Source organism: Homo sapiens, chromosome 2 (genome assembly GCF_000001405.40).
Source record: "Homo sapiens chromosome 2, GRCh38.p14 Primary Assembly".
NCBI classification, from domain to species: domain Eukaryota; kingdom Metazoa; phylum Chordata; class Mammalia; order Primates; family Hominidae; genus Homo; species Homo sapiens.
The window spans coordinates 206427932-206454548 of record NC_000002.12 but is presented as its reverse complement, the minus strand read 5'-3'; the positions used below and the strand labels follow the sequence as shown (position 1 = coordinate 206454548).

Here is a 26617-nt window from a genome sequence, read left to right as displayed (position 1 = left end):
TTGGGGGAACTGTTGGAAGGTATGATTGGTTTTGAAATGTGAGAAGAACAGGAGATTTGGGATGGGCTAGGGTGGAATGTTATGGTTTGGTTCTGTGTCCCCACCCAAATCTCATGTTGAATTGTAATCCTTAGTGTTGGGGTAGGGACCTGGTGGGAGGTGACTGGATCATGGGGACAGACTGCCCCATGCTGTTCTCATGACAGTGAGTTCTCACGAGGGCTGATGGTTTAAAAGTGTATGGCACTTCTCTCTCTCTCTCTTTCCTGCTATGCCATGGTAAGACTTGCTTGCTTCCCCTTCACCTTCCACCAAGACTTTAAGTTTCCTGAGACCTCCTAGCCATGCTTCCAGTACGACCTGTGGAACTATGTGTTAATTAAACCTCTTTTCTTCATAAATTACCCAGTCTCAGGTAGTTCTTTATAGCAGTGTGAGAATGGACTAATACAAAGGTTCTATTTACACTTTGGTTCACTGGTTTGTTTGAACTTAACTACTCTGTAATTAGTGCCTATCAGCAGAGAAGACTTGTTTGAATTTCCATCCTTTTCATTTCCAAATAAAAGGCTTAGAGAACACTTAGATCTTAAGGTAGATCTTGGTAACAAACATCTTTCACAATACACATGGCTTGAATTTATCAATGTGTAATGTTCCAGATGAGGAAATTAGCCTCTCTATATTCTTTAGCCATACAGGACACCCATATAACAAAACTTTATTTGAAACATTGTGCTAATTCACAGGTTCACATCTGTCCCAGGCTGGGGTGCCCTGTGATGGAGAATGAACCTCTCATGTCACTTATAGAAAGCAAAAGTTTTATTCAAACTGGCCATGAATTAACATGATTGTTTTTAATTTCTCATTATTCTGAGTAAAACATAACTGGATCTAGCCTTTTTATAATAGCATTTCTACCATTAAATTTAATTAAAATCATACTGAATTCATACAAATTCTAAATACAAAGACTCCCTTGTAAAATTGAAAATTCACTCAGTAGATTCTGAATGAATGAATTATATGAATGAATGAGTCTTTCATAAGGTTAAAGGGTGCCCATATCAATTGTGAACTGAATACTTTGTATGAATAAAGCCTTATAATTGTATACATTCTTGAAAGGAATAAAATATTTTCATTTAGAAAACTGATATTCTACAAGCAATTAATTATTCAGATCTTAAAGATGGAGATGACATGATGTTCTGAAGCAGGAATTTAACAGAATTTGGACTTGAAAGTCTAAGAACACATTCCTGATAGATTCGGTTCTTGCCACTGGTCACAGGGGTTTTCTATAACTAGCCCCAGGGTTTGGACAGAAATGAATAGAATCATCCAAAATTATAACCTGCTATGGACTGACCTTTGGGTAAACAGGCCTGGAAAAGTGCTGAAAGGAGAAGGGAACAGCAAATGTGTGGTGTAAGAAGGAAAGCAGCAGTTCTTCTCAAGAGACTTTTACATCCTCTCCCTGGCTCCAAGAGGAAAATTCATCTAGCTGAAATTATGCTTGCTGAATGTGGATAAAGGGAGTCACATGATGAAATAAGTGTTCCATAAAGATTAATCTGTCAGCAGTGGGACTGATGGATTGACAGAGAGAGAGACCAGAGGCGATGACAAGAACACAATGCAGAGAAGAGGGGAGGGATGGAGTCATGGGAGACACGTCAAGACTTAATCAGCGACTATTTATAGGCAGGAGAGGGAGGAGTCAAAGATGACTCCCAAGGTTCACTCTTAGATAGCTGGGAAAACTGAGGGGCATGGCTGAGAAAGATGAGGAAGGCAGGAAGGAGAGCTCTCTTCCTGCATGATTTACCTTCACACAGGGCATCACCATTGGGCAAATGCTCCTGGGTTATTTTTTCTTTTTAATTTTTTTAACTTATTGTAGACACAGGTTCTGGCTAGCTTGCCTGAGTTGCTCTCAAACTCCTAGCCTTAAGTGATCCTCCCACCTCAGCCTCCCAAAATGCCTGGATGACAGGTGTGAGCCACTGCACCTGGCCTCCTGGGTTATTTTTTCACCAACTGTAAAGAGAAGGACAGTGGTCCACCCTGCTAACAAAGCCTGAGAATAAGTGAAGACAGAATGACACTAATAGTTACATAGTTAGCAGGAATGAGTCAACCCGTGAGCAGAAAGCATTATTTAGGGACACATGCTGAAGCAAGACTTTCAACAGCACAGCTCAGCTGTAGGCTGCTGGAAAGCACAGTTAGCAGTTGGACCAAACCAGGATGAAATGTCCAAAAATGGTCTAGACTTTATGGAAGAGAATAATCAAAGACAAGGATCCAAACTCAAATGCCCAAAGGGACCAGAAATGCAGAAGGGTTAGTGTTAGCAACAAAGAATGAGGGCACTGCAGTAAACAGCATGTGTCATCCTATCTAAAGAGGAGCCACATCTTACCTGTAGGTGGGTTACTCCCTAGGTGAATTACTCCCATCCAGGGCCGTAAGCCCAATCTTCTGATTCTTCAAGAGAAATCATCACACCCACCACTCTCTACCATATTATGCCTTTTTATCTTCTGCAAGCACGTGTCAATACCTAAAATCTTCATGTGGTTGTCATTGCTGCTCTGGACATGTTTATGGTCTGTCTCTTCCTACTAGAAGTAAAGCTCGCTGGGGAGCCACATAATTGGCACTCATCTATGCTCAATCAATATGCGCTCATCTCTTGACTTCCTAGGACTTACAGTTTGATATAGAATAAATCCAGACCCCCTTGTGTCTTCACAGTCTTCACAACCTTCCACCTTCACTTCCTGCCACTCCCAATACACCCTACCTCTCTTCAGCATGAGCTCTGCAAAGGGAAGACCTGGATTCAAATCCTGGCTCTCTCTGCCATTTACTAGCTATTTGTCCTTACTGAAGATACTAACTATAAATCTCAACTGCTATGTCTATAAATGCCTATGTCACTGGGTTCTTAGAGGAACTAAGTAGGATATTTAAAAATTGATTACAAATGTTACACTAGGCCAGGCACAGTGGTTTATGCCTGTAATCCCAGAACTTTGGGAGGCCAAAGTGGGCGGATCACCTGAGGTCAGGAGTTCAAGACCAACCTGGCCAACATGGTGAAACCCCATCTCTACTGGAAACGCAAAAATTACCTGGGTGTGGTGGCACACACCTGTAGTCCTAGCTACATGGGAGGCTGAAGTGGGAGAACTGCTTGAACCCGAGAGGCAGAGACTGCAGTGAGCCAAGGTCGTGCCATTGCACTACAGCCTGGGCAACAGAGTGAGACTCTGTCTTTGAAGTTTCCTACACTTGAGTTTCCCCTTCTTGCACTCACCACCCAAATAACCTGCTACTACCCAAGCAAGTCAGGCCTTTGCACCTGGAGCCTCTCCTCTGCCGATTCTGTGGCTCTTCCTTTCTCCACCTTCTGCACAAACTTAACTCCTAATTACTCTTTAGGGCCAGCTCAATTGCTTCTTCCTCTATGAGGTTTTCTTTGACTTCCCTAGGCAACGGTTATTCTCTCCTTTGGATGCCTACAGCCTTCTGTTCCTTCCACTAGTAACTGCACTAACATAAACCACACATCAGCGGCTACCTTGATTCTGACACTCCACCAGTGAGCAAAGGTAGGGACAAAGTGTTAGTCTTCTTCGTTTTCCCCAGAGTCTAGCACAGCGCCTGATTCAAAAGAAGTATTCAATAAATGTCTGCTGAATCAAACAAAACTGAACACCTACTATGTGTAAATCTGATTTACTGGAAACTATTTGAGTAGAAAGACACATCTTGCTCCACCATAAAAATAACAAAAACTACCAGCTCTTGATTATCACAATCACATTAATGATGGGTAGCAGTGAGAGACATTATCTAAGAATTGTTGATACAGGCATTTTTGCTACTTTAGGTAGTGTAAGCATATAGTTAGTGTGACTTATGCAGTGCTAAAAACTCAAGACCAAAATTATCTCTCCTCAGTAGCAGTGAGGAGCACAGTGCCAAAAATACTTGAGTATTTTGAGGGTCCTTTTGAATTTTAGTTTGATTATAACATGAATTCCATGGGAACCCCTATACTCTAACATATAAGTGTTCAATCATCAATTCATTCCACAGAAGGCCTACTACATGCCAAGCATTACAAGTAAAATCATTACAAGCCTGAATTCTATATATTACAATTTTGTAATGACTGCTTAGGAAGACCTGGAAAACTTGGGAAGGCTGTTTAGATAAAGGCAGCTCTTTAGATAAAGTCTAGGCTTGCTAAAGAAACTTCCAGAAGGGAAATCTTTTCCCCATGTTCCACAGTATAAAACTTTCTATTGATTTTTAAAATTAATTCCTTATAATAAAGGTCATAAAAATTTATGTTCCAGAATTGTAAAAACGTGTGCTAACATCTCATGGCAGAGACAGGTGGGAGTCTTCATCCTATGTTCCTCTTTCTGTTGTCCCATACCAACAACAATGGAACAACTGGTTTCTGGAAAGTCAAGAAATGTGGAACCAGTCCTATCCTAAAATAGAGAAGGAAACAAAAATAATCACCAAGATCTAAATTCACTTAAACTTCTCTCTCTTCTCTCTTCAACCTGGGGTGGTAGGTAGTAGAGAAAGCAAAAGACTGAGCCACACAGGTCAACTAAAGTCAGCTTTCCCCAAGGTCCGGTGCTATGCATCGTGCATCTCCACAATCCCTTCCCAACCAGAAGAGACGAGAATCCTAAGGGAGCATGATATAGGACAAGTAGTTTTTTAGGGGGGTTTTTTGTTTGTTTGTTTTTTGAGACAGAGTCTCATTCTGTGGCCCAGGGTGGACTGCAGTGACGCTCACCGCAACCTCCGCCTCCCGGGATCAAGCGATTCTCATGCCTCAGTCTCCCGAGTAGCTGGGATTACAGGTGCGCACCACTGCGCCCGGCTAATTTTTGTATTTTTTTAGTAGAGATGGGGTTTCACCATATTGACCAGGCTGGTCTCAAACTCCTGACCTCAGGTGATCCAACCGCCTCAGCCTCCCAGAGTGCTGGGATTACAGGCATGAGCCACCACGCCCAGCAGGACAAGTAGTTTTTGACTAAAGTTTCAGGAAAAGCTTCCTTAACTCTCCTAGGAACAGACCACATAGGATTATCTCAGAATGAATGAATGAATCTAAAGTGTTTCTCCTGCTTTTAAAATGTATGGTCCATTTTATTAATATATTGCATTAATGGTTAATAAAATGCTTATATTTAGTAATCATACAATTCCATTTACGCCCATAAAAGTCTCCACAAGTGAAAACGATCGATCTTGATAACAAAGTAAGAGATATAAGAAAAAAGCAATGTTTTTTCCTTCTCTAGTCTCACACAACACTTAACCCAACACTTCTGACATCTGACGTATGGGAGGGTTTTCCCCACACACCAAGTAATTCTGCAGATTCTCCATCACATACCACCTCGATGTCCTCCAATTCAATTCTGACACTCTTAGCCTGGAGACAGCGTCAGATCCACTGGTTGAAGGCCTAGTCCCACAAGCCTACAAATGCCCACTTCAGATGCCAATCTCAAGCCCCAGATGGAGGCCTGTGCTCCTGACAGATCAGCTATAAACTAGGGTAGCCACAATTCCCTTAAATTAATTTGCTAGAGCGGTTCACAGAACTCAGGAAATACTTTACTTACACTTACCATTTACATAACAGATATTACAAAGAATACAGATGAAGAGCCAGATGGAAGAGACACATAGGGCGAGGATCTTCAATGCCCTCCCCAGGAACTCCACCCTCCAGGAAGTTCCACATGTTCAGCTATCCAAAAGTTTCCAGAACCCAGTCTTTTGGGTGTTTATGGATGCTTCCTTACATAGGCATGACTGATTAAATCACTGGCTATTGGTGATCAACTCAACCTTCTGCCTCTCTCTTTGGGGTTGTGGGGTGCAAATCCCAAACCTCTAATAATGTGCTGGTCTTTCTGGTGACCAGCTCCCATCCTGAAGCTATTTAGGGACCCCCAGCCACCCATCATCTCATTGGCATATGAAAGACACTCATCACTCTGGAGATTCCAACGGTCTTCGAAGCTGTGTACCAGGAAACAGGATAATTACCAAATACATTTCACAATATCACACAAAGCAAAATTAAATTTTTCCATTTCAGACCCTAATACTGCTACACGGCAGGAATCTGACTTCCTAGCTAGCAAGAAAGAATTTATAATAAATCATCAGAAAATAAAATTGTCTTTAAAGAATCTTGAATTTGAGTAAGCACCAAAAATCAAGGAATACAGCATTTGGATCCAAGGTGTCAAAACTCCCTGCCTGCTCTAGACTACCTTGGTTTATGCCTACTAACCTGGCATAATTATTAGGAGTGCCCACTTCTACTTTAAAAAATGGCACAGTTTGGACAACTGGTTATACATCACTCTATGCAGATAAAAAAGATTTTTCAACATTGTTTGACAAAGAAACATTAAGGCATTCAGAAACATTAGGATGCAAAGAGGTGGTTTGCACAATCTGCTTTTACACTCACCAATTCTGGAAGAGTTAATAAACATGTTAACTTTCACAGCTATAAAGTAATAAAGATTGATCAACATTGAACATTTACGAAATTTCTTCAGACATAAATGTGGAGCTTGGCCTTGCAACCTATATTTGGGAATTTCCATTTCCACCTCTACCCCCAGTCTAGGGATCCATGAGAAAGGCACAGTGATTCAGCATTTCTAAGGCTTTCATTAAAATGTGCTTCAGTGCAATGAAATCAGGAGAGGGAAAAAAAGGTACATAACACAGATATTAAAAACTTCTTTACATAAAAGCAGAAATGAAATTCTATACTTTCTTACTGAAACATTTCTAAAGCAGCAGAACTGGCAAGTGTCTCTCATCACTGTTATTAAGCAAGTCATCCTAAGATACAGCAGAAAGCAGATGGAACACTTTTTATCAACTACTTCAAGAGATGCTTAAAAACAGAAGTAAAAGGGAGGTCACAGAACACAAAGGGTAATTTCAAGGCACCCACCAAACAACAACACTGTCTATACCTGTACGGGAGCACTTTTAGAATCTTGCTTATCTCATTTTCCTGCCTCCTGGAGGATAGATCATGTCTTTTCATCCTTTTAACCTTTATCTCTTATCTTTGAATACTTAGCATACCGCTTGCATATGAGAAAGGTGCAACAAATGTTTATAGAGTTAAACTAATAAGAAAAATGCTTTCAAATACGATTTCTGTAGAAACATTCTTTTCAAAGTACAGTATAAAAGAAACCCAACTATTCCTCTAGGTAAGCGGTGGGTACAGGTTTAACAAACCTTATTATCACGGAAGTCAGGTATATTACAGTCAAACCACGTCCCACCAAAGAAAACAGCCACATAAGGTTAAACTATAAGGCAAGCATTAGTCATAGCCTCAAACATCTGAGTTATTAAAAAGTGCCACTGAAATTTCAAGTCTCTGCTGAGGAGGGCTTGAGCATTCTTTGAAACAGGCTTTGAGGCAGCTGTTTTTCCTTCCTCCAGCATCCTAAGCAAAGGTGCTGGAGTTTGAGAACTAACCACTTAACTCTAAAAGGTCTCATTCATAAGGAAAGCTATAAAAGCCTCAATGCATTTTATCAAAAGGGCCTTGGATTTCTCTTCTTTAAAGACAACACCCATTTCTCCTATCAATAAGACAAATGAGTTAGACATGACCTATTAGTCACCCCATTAAGTTATATAGGAGCTTATGGAGAAAAGGGCTGGCTGAGAACAGAGACACATTTATCTCACGGTGGGTAGCAGCCACTTCAAAATAATGTGAAAGAAAGTTCACCTCTCCAGTAATATTCAAGGTGAAGAAAGCACTTTCTCAGAGACCTAACTTGTAAAAAATAGTAAAAATTAAACATTCAGGTCACCTGAATTTTATATTAGCTGCTTTACAACATAGGAAAATCACCCAAAAGCCTTAAATTTCTAGCTCCCCATTTGTAAAATGGGGATAAATACTGTTACCACTCACCTATATTTTAGAAAACTAATAAAAAACAATGATGTAAACTGCAGATACTTTCTTAAATTCTAGATGTTTAGACAGTTAATTGCTAACTGTTGTTCTCACCTGAACAAGTACAGATCAAAATGAAACATTTAACATACAGACTCTATTTTCTGCTCCCGATAAACAACAGAAGAACCGATAATCCATTGTTTAAATCTGCTCGGGGTTCAAAATAATATTAATTCAAGTAAAGAATAGTAACACAGGGAAAAAGATCCCTTAAACTCTTTGGATATTAAACATTTGTCTTCTACTGATACCTTGGTAAATATCAGTTCCACTTTCTGAACTAACCTGAAAGTAAAGCAACTGCTCATAATCAATGCAGAGTAGGTACTGAAGAATTATGCCAATCAAAATTGGTCTTCATATTATGCAAATAATTTGTGTCTAGTCACCATAATCTTTTTAAATGTCAAATTGTTTACCTATTGAAAATACAACAGAAAATTTTTTTTTCCTCCTACTGATCAATTAAAGAAACAGACTGTTTAAACACTCAATTTCTAAGTGGAAAGACTGATGGAGACACTGCAGCCAAATAGCTTCTTGAAGCAATCTTGCATGTGCAGATTGAAAGCAGTTTTTATATCATGGGAGACAGTTTTATATCAAGGCAGAATACTGCACCCTTACATAAAGCCTCACAGAAACAAGTTAGAATCATAAACACATTCACTTAACTACTGTTCAGTGCCCAATGTACCTGAAAGATACATGGATATCATTTCAGGTATCAGAAAATTCTAGTTCCAGTTTAGTCAGAGAAGAGAAACAACAGTCTTATCCCAGTAGATCCCAAGTTAATTCCTTCCAGTTTCTCCCCTATCATAATATTAATTGCTTTCTTAATAAAATGCTGCAGTAAAATTTGTGAACTCAGATTCTGGCAGAAAATCAAATCAAAGGAAAACTCTTCATGATAGTTACTTTTGCATAGCCAGCCTCCTGCCTACCTTATTATGTTTTTGCTGGTGTCTTGCCTTTGTGTCAAGAACGTGATAAGGGCTTTCCGAGTCTTGGTTGATGTAATATATGAGTCTTGAAGGCAGTGTGATTTCTTTCTGCATTGCATTGCTGTAACTGATATTACTGCTGCTATTCTGTTGCAATGTATTGTCTTCATCTGCCAGGACTCCCAAATTTTTTTCTGCAGTTTCATTCCAATGCGGAGCTGGTGGAGGTAGGGGGGTGGGGGAGCAGAAAATACAAACATACACAAACACACACATATTTACCCCATAAATACATAAGCACTAAAATGCATTTTTCCTTTAATTTCAAACACAAAGTTTTCTATTTATAAGCAGTTAAGAAGTAGAGCTAGAGTAAAGCAAGTTATTTCAACAATAAAATGGCCTGGAGAAGTTAATAAATAGCCAATAAGGCTTATACAACTGTGCACTATTTATTTTGATTTATGTCTTATATATACATTTCTAGTCAGACTCAAATCTATACTTCTAAGTGTTGGGGGGGGGGTAGAATGAACTTGAGGGAAGAAGAGTCATTAAATGAACATGTTCAGGGGTCCTGCCCCCGATCTCCACCCCTTCTCTGAGTCCACAGAAGCACAACTCTACTCTGCCTAGTGGCATCCCATCCAAGAGCTAAGAACGCTCCTAAGATAACTTGAGTACTGAATTTATGGATACCGAATATTAATCGACTCTTTTAACAAAATGGACAATTCCCTTCTCTTTTAACTTTAAGATGAGCAAACATACTTTGCCATGTAGGGATACAGATGCTGGCAGCTTCCCAATTTCTTTTTATTTTCCTGACAAAGCCAGCTTTCTGCTTTCAGTGACTTCCAATCATCAATATATAGAAGATGGTATTATATTAATTGTTCATTATAATGACAAGCACTTTGAGAAATCAGAACCAAAGGTCGTGCATGAAGTATGTCTTCAGCACCTTAATTCTTTGGTCCCCGAAGTGTGCCTCCCCCACCTTAATTCCAACCGCACTGAATGCGCCGGATACGAAATTTGAGGAAACAGCCCATTACCACTATTATCACTACATCCTCCCCGCATTCACATTAAGGTTCCACCACGCAAGTAGCAACTTGCTCCCTCGCTGTATTTCCCATCCACTGGTTGCCCCTCCGCAAGTTGCACAGAGATCGCTGAGGGACCCAGGATCCACTAAACACCTCCCAGTGGAACCAACAAGAATTGGAATGGGTTTTTCGCGAATGCAACAGAAATGGACTTCCAAAAGTGAACTGGGATGAATGGGGGTTTGGGAACGAGAAGGGTGGAAAGACAGGCAGGGAGGGAAGGAAAGGCCGAGCCGGGGACAAGCCCGGAGCACACGGACCCGCGCGCCCTTCGCTTTCCTCTGCAGGGCCCCGCGGGAAAGCCAACGCAAAGGGCACGGGGCCATACCCACCGCTGGGCGCAGCAGCCCCCCAGGCGCGGGGCCGGGACGAGGCGGCGAGCGGAGGCAGCAGGAGAAGGACGAGAAGCAGGCGGCAGGGCGGCGTGCGGGCCGGGGCGCTGGCAGGCACCGAGCCGGCGGGGCCGCGTTGGGGGCCGCAGGAAGCGCCGGCAAGGCTGCAGCCCGCCAGGGGCGGCTGCCGCGAGCTGCTGCCGGGCGGCTTCATGGCTCATAGCTCCCGGGCGCCGCTCCGTGTGGCCGGCGAGAGCGCCGGGCTAGCTGCGGGGCGGCCGCGGGCGGAGCCGGTCACGCCGGCTCGGCGCGCATGGTGCCGCGGCGGGCAGGGGGCTCCGGGCTCGGGGCACGGGGCGCGGGGCTCGGGGCTGGGCGGCGCCCCCTTTCCCGGCTCGCCTAGCCTCGCAGCCACTCCCGGGGCGGGACGCAGAGGAGTCCAGGGGTCCTCGCCGCTCCGCCAACTTGGAGCCTCCCCAGCGGCTACTCCCTCCCCCGGCGGGCGCGGCCGCTTCAGCGACTGCGGGGGCTGCCGCCGGGCCTGAGGATGCTGAGGCGGCGCGCGGGAGCGAGCGGCGCGGGGACGCGCGGGAGCGAGCGGCGCGGGGACGCGCGGAGCGGGCGTGCGCCCCGCCCCCCGAGAGCGCGCCCGAGCGGGGCTTCGGGTGCTGATGCTGTTGCTGGATGCTGTGCTGCTGCTGTTGCCTGGCCCGGAACGCACTGCGCATGCTTTGTTGGGGGGCGGGGAAGGGGGTAAAGCAGCAGAGTGATGCAGCAGCCCAAGCAGCATCGGAGGTGACGGGTGGTACCTCAAAAGATGGGGGCGGTGGAGGGGGAGCCGGCAGTCACGGATAAGCCAGAAGAAAGAGAGTACGGGGGTTTCCAGGCCAGAGACAGGGATGATCGGGAGAAAACAACCAGCCGAAGTCCACCTGCCTTTTCCACCACCCCAGACTTCACATACCCTCTCCTATTCCAACCTCTTCCTGCTCTGGATAAACTAAGGCCACGCATCTCCTTCTTAATCCCTTATATATTTGCTTCCTGCATGTAAATATAAAGGATTGCAGCCGGGGAGGTAAAAATAGCGCGGCTCCTCATTCAGATTGCCAGCAGCGGGTGGGACTGCGGCTGAGAAGAGCGTTTGCGCCGCAGGCTGGCGCGGAGTGGCAGGAATCCCCCGCGCAGGGGCGCTCTGCCCCGGCCTGTGTCCTCCCTGCCGGTGCCTGGGGTCTTTGAGGAAAGCACAAGAAGCCGGACGGTGTTTGCTCAAAAGTTCAGAAAGTATGACTGGGCATATTCGGGAAGGACTTCGACATTCTGGCGGGGAAGCAATACAGAGATTAGAAACCAAGTGTGTGGCAGCTATCTTGGGAAATCCGTTGTTTGTCAACCACGGGGATGGGCACACATTTAGGAGGACACATTTCTATTTTTGAGATCCAGTCCTGACTTCTGCAGAGGAAAGGGGAAGTTTTCTCTCGTTGCTGTAAAAAATGTAAATCCCTGACTTCGGTGGGTTCGCAGCCACTAAATCTGATGGCTTCAGATAAGAGTCTGTGGCATATTTCTGCCCCCAAACTCTCATAATGCAAGCATTCATTTATTCACCCTCCCAATGACAATCTGAGTGATAACAATGTTGTCTTACTCCGACATCCACGGGGTGAGGGCTGGGGTGGAGAATTCCATGATTAAAAGAAAGAATGTGGGTATAAAAGTGCCATGGCCATGACAGAACTCAGTGTTAGCCATCATCTTCTCCACTCACACTTAACAAAGAGAAAAGAAGAAGACATATACGCGCGCGCACACACACATTACAAAACTGTTAGGTAAATACTGAGATAACTTCCTTTCTATGTTGAGCTAGGATATTATTATCACATATTTATTCCTGTAAATTTGTAATTGTTGCTACCTCCCCCATGTGAGGGCAACAACAGTTTTCCCTTCTGCACACCATTGTGTCCCTAGGACCTCACACAGTGTCTGAGGCACAGAGAAATCGCTTGGAAAATATGTACTAAATGAATAAAGAAATGGGTGATACACACAAGCAGAAGTCACACTTGGGGCAGGCTAGTGAACACTCTAGCCCCACCGGAGTGCCCACTGCAGGTCAATGTTCTTAGGGTTGTCTCCCTCAAGTCAAGTATTCTCTGGCTAGGTTTTCCAAATTTATATTTGACACAATATGCATCCTGAAAAAGGGCCTGAGAGAAAGCAAGCCAGAAAGGAGATGTACAAGCAATGAGAAGGGAGAGGGAAATGAAAGGTGCAAAGCACCCAGATGCAAGTTACTTGAAAGGCATCTCTTGCAATTCAGTGACAACCTCTTAAAGTCTGTTCTGATAAATAAACCTATCAGCCAACCTGGACTGACCAAACCCACCCACCAGTTACAACACATCATTTCATGCACTTGGGGTATGGAATGAGGATTCAATATAGTTTCTTTTTTTCTTTTTTTTTTTTTTTTTTTGAGATGGTGTCTTGCTGTGTCACCCAGGCTGGAATGCAGTAGTGCGATCTCAGCTCACTGCAACCTCTGCCTCCCAGGTTCAAGCGATTCTCCTGCCTCAGCCTCCCAAGTAGCTGGGATTAGCTGGGATTACAGGCACGTGCCACTACACCCGGCTAATTTTTGTAGTTTTAGTAGAGACGGGGTTTCACCATGTTGGCCAGGCTGTTCTCAAACTCCTGACCTCAGGTGATCCACCCACCTCAGCTTCCCAAAGTGCTGGGATTACAGGCGTGATCCACCGCACCTGGCCTCAATATAGTTTCTAATAAGGGGTTGGGGTATTTACAAAGAGGGATGTTGTCTTATGTACTATAGTCAAAAGACTGCATTTATTTACAGAACTTTAATGGTTACAGACATTGCTAGAGTCAAAATAAGATATCAATAAATGAAATAATGAGTCAGAGAAAGAGTACATTACTTAGAAAAAATTTACTGGAAGTTTAGTCTTTAAGCCATATATTTAAGGGAAGGTTAAAAACAGAATCAAATATTAACTGATTAAATAATTTAATTGGTCAACTTGGTAGAGTTAGTAATATTCTTATTAGGTAGTTCAGAATTTTTATTTTTATAGAGTTTACTTCTAAATATTCCCCTCTGTGCTTTCATAAGATTTAGTGACTTGCTTAATCACTTGCCACCTACTGCTTTGCTCTGTATTCGTGTATGTGCATATCATCATTCTTCCATCAAAAAATACTGAGAGCAAGGCTGTATCTTGGTCATCTCTGACTCCACAGCCTAGTATAGTACCTGGAATCAAATCAGCATTCATAGAGGGGCACTCACAGGTAGGAAACAGAGGGATTCAGCAAGATGGACTGGAATAAAGAAATATACCAGAAGCTTGAGTGCTATAATGGCCCTGGTTACCAATGTGTGTTGGATCCTAAGGCCATCAGAGGATCACTGGAGTGATCTAGTCACAGTGGCAGACATGGAGAAATGCTGCAGTCGTAGGTGAAGGCAGGTGGCCAGAAGGTCCATGGGAAGGAAATTACACCAGGCAATATGGACCCTAGGTAAGCACCATGAGGGGTGCATGTGAGCAATACCCAGGAAGGGTCGTCATACTGTTCACAAAAATGGTCCATTGGTCTGGTGAGGGAGGAGATCAGAAGGTCTCTATTTGCCAAAATCTGTTTCCAGTGGTAGAACTGGACCCACTTTGCAACCAGTGAGAAGACTGGGTCTGGACAGGAGCAAGCAAAGGACAGAAATAGAAATATTAGATGTAGCAGGCCTTGGCCTCAAGAGGGCTGAGATGCTAGGGGAGAAAGTAGAAGAAGGGGATGACAGAAGAGAGGTCCAGAGGGTAAAATAAGTAAAAAAGCAGGGGAAGGTAGCAAAGCAGACTTACAAGAGCAATTGGAATGGAATAAGCATTTGCCCAAAAAGTCAAGGTCAAAGAAGGTGTGCAGCAAATTAGTGGATGGTGCTGATACTAAGAGAGATCTAGGGAGTGAAAGCAAGAGCATGAACAAGCCTCAAACAGCAGCTCTGGCTCAAGAGCAGCTTATACCCAGGAGCTCGCTGGGACAGCCTGTGTTACAGAGCCAGCTAGAGAAGGTTTCTCAGCCTCCTTTTAGAATAGCTGTGAAGACTGATTTTACCAGCGGAAGTGGATACTTCAAAGGAGAAAAGACAATGCATTTCTTCATGAAAGTAAAAAGCGAGTGTGCTTCGTTATTGGTACTTGCCACGTGGTTCAGGAGTCAGCAAACATTTTCTGTACAAGGCCAGATAATAAACATTTTGGGTTTTGTGGGCCATATGGTCTCTGCTGCATTTTTTTTTCTTTACAAACCTCTAAGAATGTGAAAACCATGCAGCCTACAGGACCTGGTTTGTCAGCTAGCCATTTTTAAATCTCTCTCTCTCTCTCTCTCTCTCTCTCTCTCTCTCTATATATATATATATATATATATATATTTACCTTAAATATATATACCTTATAATATATACTATATATATACACCTTAAATATATATATATGTAAGGTTAAATTTTTTTCATCAACTGTATTATGTCCTGTGCATATAAGCAGAAAAAGCGAAGGAAGCGTGTGCCACAATATAGAGGGCTCTAATTCTAGAAAAGATTGCTCTCCATTGTAATTTAGATAGTTGTTTAATCAGTAAGTAGTCACTAAATTCTCAAAAGATGTTCATCATTTGAAGGGATCCCTTAGGAAAGAAGTATTTCTCCTTTTGAAGCCAATTCTCAGATGATGATAATGGGAGAAAAGTCAGAAATCATTCACCAAAAAAAAAAATACAGATGTCAAAAAGATTCTAGACATTTCTTTTGTTTTTCCAAGCTATACTTTCTTGTGAGTAGGGGATGCTGAATGGATGCTACAGCCATGAGTGGTCAGAGAATGGAGTAATACATGCACTCTAGTCCTTCCCAGAGCCTGTCACCATCTGGGATCTGCCTGTGTTCCTCAAACTCAATCCTGTAGAGCGGCCATGCGGCAGGGGATACACACTCCTGACACAGAGCCACACCCCATGTCACAGGCAACCTTCAAGTTCATGAAAATTAGTCTGCAAGTCTGCAGGTCTGTGTTAATTACACCACTGCTCATTCTGAAGACCAGGACAAAGTGGGACAATTTCAAAAGTCACTGTGTGACTAATTTCAACACGACTGGGAAAAGAAAAAGTATTCAATACCAAAAGACCAATGGCAACGGACATTTCTAGGGGAGTAGTGGAACAGACAAAAATGTGTTACAATGTCGAGCATGAAAATATCCGAAGAAAGGTAACCACAGAAGAAACCTAAAATTGAGTTCTTAAAGGAAATTATGTTAAAAGGAGTTTAATTAGGAATTCAGATAGTATAAGATAAATTTGAAAACAGTTGATTTTCCCCCACTCTAAAACATTAGGTTTGTTTATCTAACAGTTTTGTGTGTTTACAAGCTGGGCACAAAGGGATACATGAGCATGTCATGGTGATTCGTGGTGATAATATGTGCTCTGCAAAACTTGGAAGAATTGTGTTTATTAAGAATAATCGCTGAGTCAACACATAATCATTAAGTCCTCACTGGGTCACAGAGCAGCACTAGGAGTTTCTACAGAAGTAAATTACCACGTCCTACTGGGGGTGGGAGTGGGGGCTAAACTATAGCAGCTGAATTGCATATGAAAAGGTTAGAACCCCAGCAGACAGAATTAATATGCTAATGTAATCCCATCCGCTTGCATAATAGCAATGGCTAAGTCCTTTAACAATGCCTGCTTTAATTATTACTGTGCACTTACACACTGCAAAGTGCTTTTGTCTATATTATTTTACGTGATCCTCAACATTGTGACACAGGGCAGTTACTGTTATTGTTTTTAGGAGCCCCACCTTAGAGGTAAGAGTGCTAAGATTCACAGCTCTTTGCAGGGATCCTCGATCCCTGCACATTCAAATCACCTAGAGAGCTTTTTTAAAAACACTTTTATACATTGTAGGTGTACAATGTGATGCTTTGATATACATAGTAAAATGATTACTACAGTCAAGCAGATTGACATATTCGTCACTCACATAGCTACCCATTTTTAGTATACAATACAATATGAATAGCTGTAGTCCTCATGCTGTACATTAGCTCTCTAGACTTAGTCATCCTACACAACTGCAACTCTGTACCTTTTGACTACATCTCCCCTAAGTCTCCCTCCCATCCTGCCCTCTGCTGCCCTCCACCCTTGGTAGCCACAATTCTAGCCTCTGTTTCTATAAATTCAACCTTTATTTTTTAGATCCCACATATCAGCGAGATCACACAGTATTTTTCTTTCTGTGTCTGACTTATTTTATTTGGCATAATGACCTTCAGATTCATCCCTGTTGTCACAAATGGCAGGATGGCCTTGCTTTTTGATGCTGATTAAAATTTCGTTGTATAACTGATTTGATCTTTGCAAATTATATGAATGTATTAAATGATCCCATGTACCCTGAAACTACATGCCTCTATTATGCAGCAATTAAGAAAGAAAAAAATTACATACATACACAATTATAATTTCTTTATCCAATCATCCACTGACAGACACCTCAGTTGTTTCTATATCTCAGCAATTGTGAATAATGCTGCAATGACCACGGGAGAGTGCAGATATTACTACAAGGTGATGATTTCACTTTGTTTGGGTATATAACCAGAAGAGGTATTGCTGGGTCATATGGTTGTTCTCTTTTTTTCTCTCTCTTTTTTTTTTTTTTTTTTTTTTGAGATGGAGATTCACTCTTGTTGCCCAGGCTGGAGTGCAATGGCACGATCTTGGCTCACTACAACCTCTGCCTCCCAGGTTCAAGTGATTCTCCTGCCTCAGCCTCCTGAGTAGCTGGGATTACCGGCATGTGCCACCACTCCTGGCTAATTTTGTATTTTTAGTAGAGACAGGGTTTCTCCATGTTGGTCAGGTTGGTCTTGAACTCCCGACCTCAGGTGATCCACCAGTCTCAGCCTCCCAAAGTGCTGGGATTACAGGCGTGAGCCACCGCACCCGGCTGGTTGTTCTCTTTTTAATTTCTTTAAGAACTTCCATGCTGTATTCCACAATGGCTGCACTAATCTATTTGGTTGGTGCAGAAGTGCCATTAAAAGTAATGGTGCCGGCCGGGCGCGGTGGCTCACGCCTATAATCCCAGCACCTTGGAAGGCCGAGGCAGGCGGATCACGAGGTCAGGAGATAGAGACCATCCTGGCTAACACGGTGAAACTCCATCTCTACTAAAAATACAAAAAATTAGCCAGGCGTGGTGGTGGGCACCTGTAGTCCCAGCTACTCAGGAGGCTGAGGCAGGAGAATGGCATGAACCCGGGAGGCAGAGCTTGCAGTGAGCCGAGATCACACCACTGCACTCCAGCCTGGGTGACAGAGCGAGACTCTGTCTCAAAAAAAAAAGTAATGGTGCCATTAAACGTAATGGCAAAAACCACAATTACTTTTGCACCAACTTAATACATTCTCACCGATGGTGTACAAGAGTTCCCTTTCTCCACACCCTCACCAACATTTATCTCTTGTCTTTTTGATAGTAGCCATCCTAACAGATGTGAGGTGATATTTCATTTTGAATTTATTTTGCACATAGAGAGCTCTGATACTCTACCAATTCCTGAGTGTTTAGGATTTTCAAGACTAGGGCTCAACATCAGTGTTTTCTAAAATCCTCCCAGATTAATAAAATGTGCAACCACAGTTAAGACACACTGGGTAACAAGATTTCCTTGAGGTTACGTAGCTGCTCAGCATCAGAACTGGAATTCAAACCCTGAATTGGAATCCTGTGCTGTTCCCAAGTTTTTCTTTCCTATTTCTGCTTTTATCACAAGTTAACCTTGGATAAAGAAAGATAGAAAACAAGTTTAATATAATTGCTGGAGGACCTAAAAAAATATAGAATTAGAAAATATTTGAGCCAGAAGTTATCTCTGAGATCATCTAGGAGTCCAAACTCATTGTTGTGCAATTATGGAAACAACGGCTCAGAGTTTCAGCTCATTTCCCAAGGTCACACAACAGTCTGTGCAGAGCTGGGACTAACATTCAAGCCTTTTTCTGGCTTTCCAGTACTTTCCATAGTGTTTAGTACAAGGTTTGTTTAAAAAAGTGTTTTGGCTTAGAAAAATCCCAGTCAGCCTGCCATGTAATCCATTTCCAGTCTTCCACGTGACACTGCTTTGTAAAGAGAAGAAGGATACAGCTGTGAGGTCTGGGTCCCTACATCACCGATTCCTGTAAGCCCAGTTCCACAGCTTGAAAGGATAAAATAGTCTCATTCTGCAGCATGAAGAAAGCCCAGTATGCAAGGAAAGTCCCACATGTTTGGAGGTAATCCACCCAAATAAAACACCTGTCTTTCTCCTACTTCTCCTGTCTTTTGTATCTCAAATACAAAAGATCTCAAGGTGATTTCCAAGGAACAATTTTCTTATCAGATGAGTTTCTTATATTACCCTTATTATGTCTTACAAACTCAACAACTGCAGCTTCTTAAATTCCATTTTAGGTAGTACCAAATTTGGTGAGAAACATAAAAGAATGCAGGAAATAATAAAAATAAAATAATAACAAGAAGAAGGCAGAGAAAGAAAAGGAATCATGTATGTAGCATCTACTGTGTGCCAGATGCTTTGTTAACTGTTTTAGCTGGATAATGTCACTTACTCCCTTTACAACTTTATGAAGGAGCTACTATTGTTACTCTCAATTTTACTCATGAGAGAACTGAGGCTTGGAGAAGGTAAATAACTTGTCTAAAGTCTAAAAAGCAGGGCTGGGTCAGAAATCCGTGTATGCCTGACTCCAAAGAATAAACTCCCAACCATACCATAATGACTCACAAATACTATCAATCTATCAAGTGTAATAATAAAAATCACATTAAAAAAACTGCAGAATTCAATCTTCTACCAATTCCACATTTCACTAGTGATCAATTTCGTTTAAAATTAGAGTTAAAAAAAAAACCACACACACTGATGTTGTCTAATCTATTTGACTACAGCCCCAAAGCAAACCACCTGAAACAGTGTCTTCAAAGGAAATATAACATTTGAAATCATGGTTCTTGGCTATAAACCAACTTTACACTTTATTTTTGTCTGTTTAAAACCACTGACACAGCCAGGCGCGGTGGCTCATGCCTGTAATCCCAGCACTTCGGGAGGCTGAGATGAGTGGATTATTTGCGGTCAGGAATTTGAGACCAGCTTGGCCAAAATGGTGAGACCTCCTCTCTACTAAAAATACAAAAATTAGCCAGGCGTGTTGGTGTGTGCCTGTAATCCCAGCTACTACTCAGGAGGCTGAGGCAGGAGAATCACTTGAATGCAGGAGGCGGAGGCTGCAGTGAGCCGAGATTGCACCATTGCACTCCAGCCTGGGCAACAGAGTGAGACTCCGTCAAAAAACAAACAAACAAACAAACAAAAAACCATTGACACATTCATCCCCACACAGAACTATTCTGAATTATGTTCCTAACTTCACATTAAAGATTTTTGAATGCAGCCATTCTATACAATTCTTCGTATAATCCCAAAACAAAACCTAATTTGTTTCTTACGTTGGAATACCTCTCTATAAGAGAAGGCCAAGATCTCCACTTACCAGATAATTTATTTTTTTCTAAATTTTAAGTTAACCAACATAGCTACCCATTAAATTTAATAGGATCAATTATAATAGCAACATTTATTAACCACCTCCCCATATCAGATAACATCAGCTTTTGCCATATTAAGATGTTTAGATTTCTAAAGACATAATTGTAAAAGCTTAAGCCCTGAACAGAAGTAATTAAATACTTTTATTCTGCTATTGTCCTAAGAAAAAAAACAGCTAACATTTGTATGGCTCCTTAAACCACACAACATGCTTTTGTACACCTAACGTCATTTAGTGCATTGCAGTGCGTAGGCCAGTGCTGAACTAGCTGTATTATTTCTGTTGGATTGTCATGGGATTTGACTATTCATGACATGGATATGGACATGGCTTAAAGGCAGGAATCAAATGAAAGAGACTAGCAGTCACTTCTCCAGAAGGAAAAGATAAACTCTAGGATTCTCTAGATCTAAGACTTTTTATTTGCTATTTTGATAAATTACCTGAAAGATTGCACATTAAAATGCCCAGTCATGCAAAAAAACCATTGAGTTCTTCCAGGTATTCAAATGTTTGGGTGAACTGGGATAAACTATAAACAGAGTTTCTGAGGCTTTAGGACATAAGGAAAAGCTGATAAAAGAATTTTAATAACAACAAGTAAGTTTTGGAAAAAGTAGTCTAAACTATTTGCATATCTAAATAGCCATTCTTCCCACCTAGAAACATCAGTGCACACACAGATTATTATCCAAATTACAACTGGCACTAACACACACACACACACACACACACACACACACTCATCTCCAATATGGGAAACAGACTGTGGAGTTAATATTGACTATTCCTTGAATGGGATAAAACAACTTCATCTAAAAAATGCCAACATCACAACATTGGTAACAAAATAGAAAATATCAAAATTACACCAAACTCTGATGTACAAGCCATATAAAGGAATTGGATACAATCCAGGAAAAATCATTTTAAATGACCAAGCTGCTGCCAGATGAAAATCTAAAAAGATAAGAATTGTACCATCTGGCAAGATAAAGAATGAGAGAGAACATTTTCTAAGGCTTTAAAATCATGAGCAGTGTAGATAAGGTGAACATAACCATCCAAATCCTGAACTATTTTAATGAAGGGGTAGCATCTGAAATTTGAGAGAGATATTGTGAGCAAATAACAAGCAATACTGCACATAGTACTTTATTTATTTGTAGTGGACCTCTGTTGGGGAACCCTCCCTGTTCAGATATCAGAATTAGGCCCAGGTTTTTCTCCTTAAATACTGAATGGAAAAGTCATAGATGTACTCAGGTGAATTCTCAAAATTATCAGCTCAGAAGTTCTTTAAATATAATGATTATTAGCTGACATATTGAACACTTACTGTTTTCCTATTACTGCAAATAGCTTTACATGTATTGTTTCATTTAATTAAATATGATCTTCCCATAACAGACTTAGACATTATTTGTGAACATCCCACTTTAATTTTTTCCTTATCTTTAGCTCTAATGGGTGGTAATTTAATCTATTTGGCACAGTTTTCTAAGCATAGCTGAAAAAAAAGTCTAGATGTCTGGTGATATAAGATAATGTAAATAATAAACATTATTTTCACCAAGTAAAAAATAAAAATAAGAAAGTAAGTCCCCACGGCCATGTCTATCCCTCATAACCTTGTTCCCCAGGTCCTCCCCCAACCCACCCATCACAGGTCATTCATTTAGGGTCAGGAGCCTGATACAAGCTGGACCACTCACAGCGGCACTTCATCTTCCAGCCACAACTGATCGGCTCAGTGAGGGCAATCAAGGTCCTTACTGGGGACTGTTTTTTTTGTTTTTTGGGGTTTTTTTTGAGACGGAGTTTCACTCTGGTTGCCCAGGCTGGAGTGCAATGGGACTGTTTTTTTAGCTGGATAAAATGGGATATAAAGCTCAGCTGCTCTGTTTCCCATTCTACAAAAGTCGAGGATAACATCTACTGCAGTGAGAGGCACTAAGAAGGTTCTGGCTAGGAAGAGCAGATAAATTATTTACCTAACCATGACGCTTTTGCAGTCATGCATAAACTAAAAATATCTTAGACAAACTCAAATGTGTGATCCTTCTAGTCCTTACCAATAAACAGTCCCTGAAAGACACAACAATGCAAGGATTGGACAATGGCTGTTTTATGTATTTATTTATGTATCTAGTATTTGAATATTACAGAGACTAGTTTTGAAAAAGAATAGTCTCTACTTTAATTATAGTAATAAGGTTAATTAAATGATTTTTTAATATTTCTGGTTGCTAGAGAAACTTATTAACAACAACAGCACCAGGATGGTGTGATGGACATGAAGTTGAGCTGCTCAGGTGCCCCTCAAGGAAGGCTCATTAACACAGCTGCGGGGAGTGTTGTCAGCAGACAGCCCTCAGCTCTCAGCCTTTGTAGAGGCTATTTCAGTAGTGAAGAGCAATGATGTCCCAGGGTCATACCATTTCTAGGATGAGCCACAGCCAATAACCGGTTGAGGTGAGGATATAAAGACCTGGCCATATTGAGTAGGCTTACTAGATTTAGCATATAAAATTACAGGATGCCCATTTAAATTTGAATTTCACATAAACAATAAATGACTTTTACTATAAGTAAACCTTATTCAAAATTTGAATATGAAATTCAAACGTGCAGCATTTTCTCTGGCGACCCTAATGTTGCCCCAGTGCAACACAACTCTGATGGGCCATTCTCACCCCAGAGCTCCCTGTGGGGTGTGCCAAATAGCTCTTAGATCAGCTAGTTTCTCCCCCTGCCTCCCTCCTTCCCAAGGCCATTCCCTAGAAAGCATCTTGTATGTGAAACTCTGTCTCAAAATTTGCTTCCCAGAGAAAACCGACCACAGAGGCATCAACCTTCTGTTTTGCCCAACTTTTAAAAAATTCAGATCATAAAAACAATACCCCAAAGGTATTTTGAAATCTAAAATGACAAGAAAATGATTACTACATATTTTATTGATGGTTATATTTTAATAGTTTTTAAAGTATTGATTTAGAATATTAATAATCATTATATAATAATATAAATAATACATGTTCATGAAAATAACTATTTTCCAAAAGAAAAAGGGTGGTGAAAAGAGTGGATTCTTTTATATTTTATATTTTTGCAAGTTGCTTTCTTGAGTGTATCATTACAAGACTGGTGGATTTTCATATCTGCTCATGCATGTAACTTGTTATTTTGGTTGAAGTATATGAAAAAAAGTAAACTTTTCAGATAATTGTAGATATTCATCTTTAACATAAACTAAAACTACACAAGTGGTAGTTTCTTAAAGGTTAGTTATGATATAAAACCTGAAACTTTATCATCGTTGAATTAAATCACTGTTACATTAAGATACGTGGGTCTATCTTGCATATTTGACAGAACGTATTTTAGCAAACATATTCACTTTAAATGAATCATATTTATGATACAGTAGAGCTAGAGTTTTTCTGGGTTTTATATAAACTTTACAACATATTTGAGCCATTGCATAATCAACATGTATATATATTCCTTTCCTCTTTATGGAACTTAATTTTATTATCTTTTAAAAAGAAATACTGGTAGTAAATCTTTGTTATTTGTTATGAGATTTCATGTTCTAAGTCAAGAAAGCAACCCTCAGTTATAACATTGTTCTGGGAATTCACAATCCATTTTATGATGATTTGTTTTATTAAAGAATTTACAAGAAATGCATTTTAGCAAAAATTGAGAACTGCTGAGAGCAGCAGAAAGGCAGTGAAGTGCAGTGGCAGGACCAGGCAACCCAGGACCGAAGGGTCCAGGATCAGTCTTATGAGGAGTTCAAAAAGTGGTTTACGTGGAAGCACTTGGTAAAATGCAACATACTGCAAAATGGTCAATTATTATATTTGAGAATTTACATTTAGTTAAATGTTGTTTGCTAGTTGCTATAAATTATTAAATGGAAATAGGTGTGGCATATGTCTGTAATCTTTGATGATGTTTATGTCATAGAAGAAAACCATGCTTTATTGTAATACAAGCCTTGGGGCAGATCGTAGGCTGAAATTTGGTGATACCCAAGGATGCATATCTTATTCTGGAACATTTCCCAGAGATGCAGCAACATTTATAAGCCTAACTTTCACCCCGTGAAGTAAAGCACTGCATATATCTAGGTTATATTGTACTGGTTTTATCATTATTAACATACATATTCTTTATGGCATAAAGGAGCATCTAAGGCCCCTTGTCACTATAACATAATAGCAAATGTTCTTACGCTTTAGTGGCTGTCAATCACTATAAAGAAATGAGATACAAGCCATGCTCAATCAACAAGATGAGGCAAACACAAAAGTAACCCACCTCCAGTCTAGTACAAACTTTATATAAAGGTGACAACAGTGATCAGAATTCCTAGTTGACAAAGTTCATCCTGCACCCACTCTGCAATGCACTCACACTTTGTTCTGTCCCACCCCTACCAGTCCCTCCCCTTCCCTACCAGCATCCCCCTTGGCCCTCCGCGCCCCCCTCCATTGCTCCTGTCTCCTCACCATCCTCTATGTCTCTTCCTAGATTCTCTAGAATCATATGACTTACCTTCTGTCTTGTGGATTGGATTTCCTTGGCTGACTATGGGGAATATACTCATCTGCAGTGGCTTTGGGATAACTTCTCATCAATTAAGCCATGCCAAGCAGTTCAATAGGCCAACCAGGAGCCATGGAGGGTGCTGTGAGGTCATGTTAAGTAGTGACTAATGAGAACAAGCTGGAATAACAAGACTCCTAAGTACTCAAAGGACCCTTCCTTCCCAGTGAGGGGAGTGCTGAGTCGGAGAAAAACAGTGCCTCCAACAAATTTGGTCATGTTCTATTTGGCCTGGGATCAGGCCTGTCTGCAGCTTCTGTTGGCCATTTTTGCATTTATCGCCTGATAAAAAACCTCACATGGTTGTTCCCAAGCAAGAAGAAATATTACTAGAATAAAATGTACATAATAAAAACAGCATATCACTAAAGAAACATGGTCATAATTAAGATGAGAAAAAGTTAGATAAAATGGCCAAAAGTTACAGAGTTACAGAAGCTCTGAGTCAAGAGTCACTGAATTCATCCTCCCTCCCAGTGGAGGGGACTCCCTGTAAAACAAGGGTTGAAAAGTCGCATTCCTATAGGGACTAGGCATGTAATTTAAAAAGTAAAGGTACCGGGCAATAAGGAATGGCGAAGACTGTGGCAAACAAGAAAACACATGCCTTTCTACATCAGGCCACCCTTACACAGCTCTATTCAATTGTTATCTTCAGGCAAATGGGCCCAATGCTGCTAGATTTTCCCATTTTTCAAGAGAAACTTGAAATCTAGATTTTGAGTAACTTTAAAATGTTTAAGTGTTTACTCATTCTACTGTTTTGAAACACTGCCTGCAGTCAAAGAAAACATGAAAATGGACCAGATCTGGCTCATCGTAGTGACTTCTGCTCTATGAAAAACCTGTCTAATAGCCCGATATAAATTTCAGCAGCTCTAATCCTAAGCTCTCCCTGCAGTGAACCAAAGCTCATATTGGCACAACTTCCACTTTAGATTATATAATTCTGTCCTATGGATCAACACAGAATAACCCTATTCTTTGTATGTATTTCCTTTTTGTTCTTGAAATGTTCTCCAAAAACACTGTCTAAGCCTTTACTTTTACTCTTACCTTTGCTAATACACCCAGTCTCTTTTTGCTCTCTGAACTATCTTTTTGAATTTATCTATTACTGTTTTATGCTTTTCTTTAAATTGTCTTCATCTTGCCCCTTCTCAAGTATCTACAGTGAGTCTCTACTGCCTTTCATTTTTAGTGTGTCTGTGGTCTGGCCCACGGTTACCTATTTAAATCTCCCAGTTTGTACCTTCTGCTCTAACATATTGTTGGCAGGAAATGATTCTTCCATTCCTGATGTTTCTTTCCAAGGAGTTGGAAGTCTACTGCAGTCTACTCCTGCTTTTCTCTGTCCCTGTACTGTTTCCATCTCTGGTATACAGAAGTGATTTAGCTGATGAGTAAATTTGAGAATAATAAACTGGGCATGCTTACATAAGCTTTCTTTTCTCCTACCTTGGAATTTCCTTTCTCCTACTGGGATTGAGATACCCACAGAGAACAGAAGTCCTCCATCAGTAAGAGTGATATTTTGGCCTCCACCTGTCTTTTAACTTGTACAGAACCTAGTTAGAGAACTGAGGGGTTATTTATTGTGCCCTCTGAATAATGCAATTCACCATGTTCCTTCCCAGCTAGGGAGAGTCTGAAATCTCATAAATCATTACAACTAAAAGGTAGTGCCTTTACAGCAAAAGAAACTACCATCAGAGTGAACAGGCAACCTACAGAATGGGAGAAAATTTTTTGCAATCTACCCATCTGACAAAGGGCTAATACCCAGAATCTAAAAAGAACTTAAACAAATTTACA

General features: G+C 41.1%; 1 protein-coding gene across 3 annotated transcripts in view, besides 1 other annotated feature; it reads right to left on the bottom strand.

The window, feature by feature from the left end:
• The window catches only part of ADAM23 (ADAM metallopeptidase domain 23), a 177596-nt gene extending 166579 nt beyond the window's left edge, over positions 1–11017 (bottom strand). For all 3 annotated transcript variants that reach the window (NM_001410985.1, NM_003812.4, XM_005246932.4), the window contains exons 1-2: positions 10469–11017; positions 9025–9242 (exon numbers count right to left, since the gene is read on the bottom strand). In NM_001410985.1, the coding sequence (NP_001397914.1) occupies positions 9025–9242; positions 10469–10682 (432 nt within the window). In that variant the 5' untranslated portion in view covers positions 10683–11017. The remainder of the gene's footprint in view (positions 1–9024; positions 9243–10468) is intronic.
• Positions 10443–10572: a silencer, noted in NCBI's record as "silent region_12269". NCBI's record gives its function as "represses an Ori minimal core promoter by ATAC-STARR-seq in GM12878 lymphoblastoid cells {active_cell/tissue: GM12878}" and the evidence as "EXISTENCE:reporter gene assay evidence [ECO:0000049][PMID:35858748]".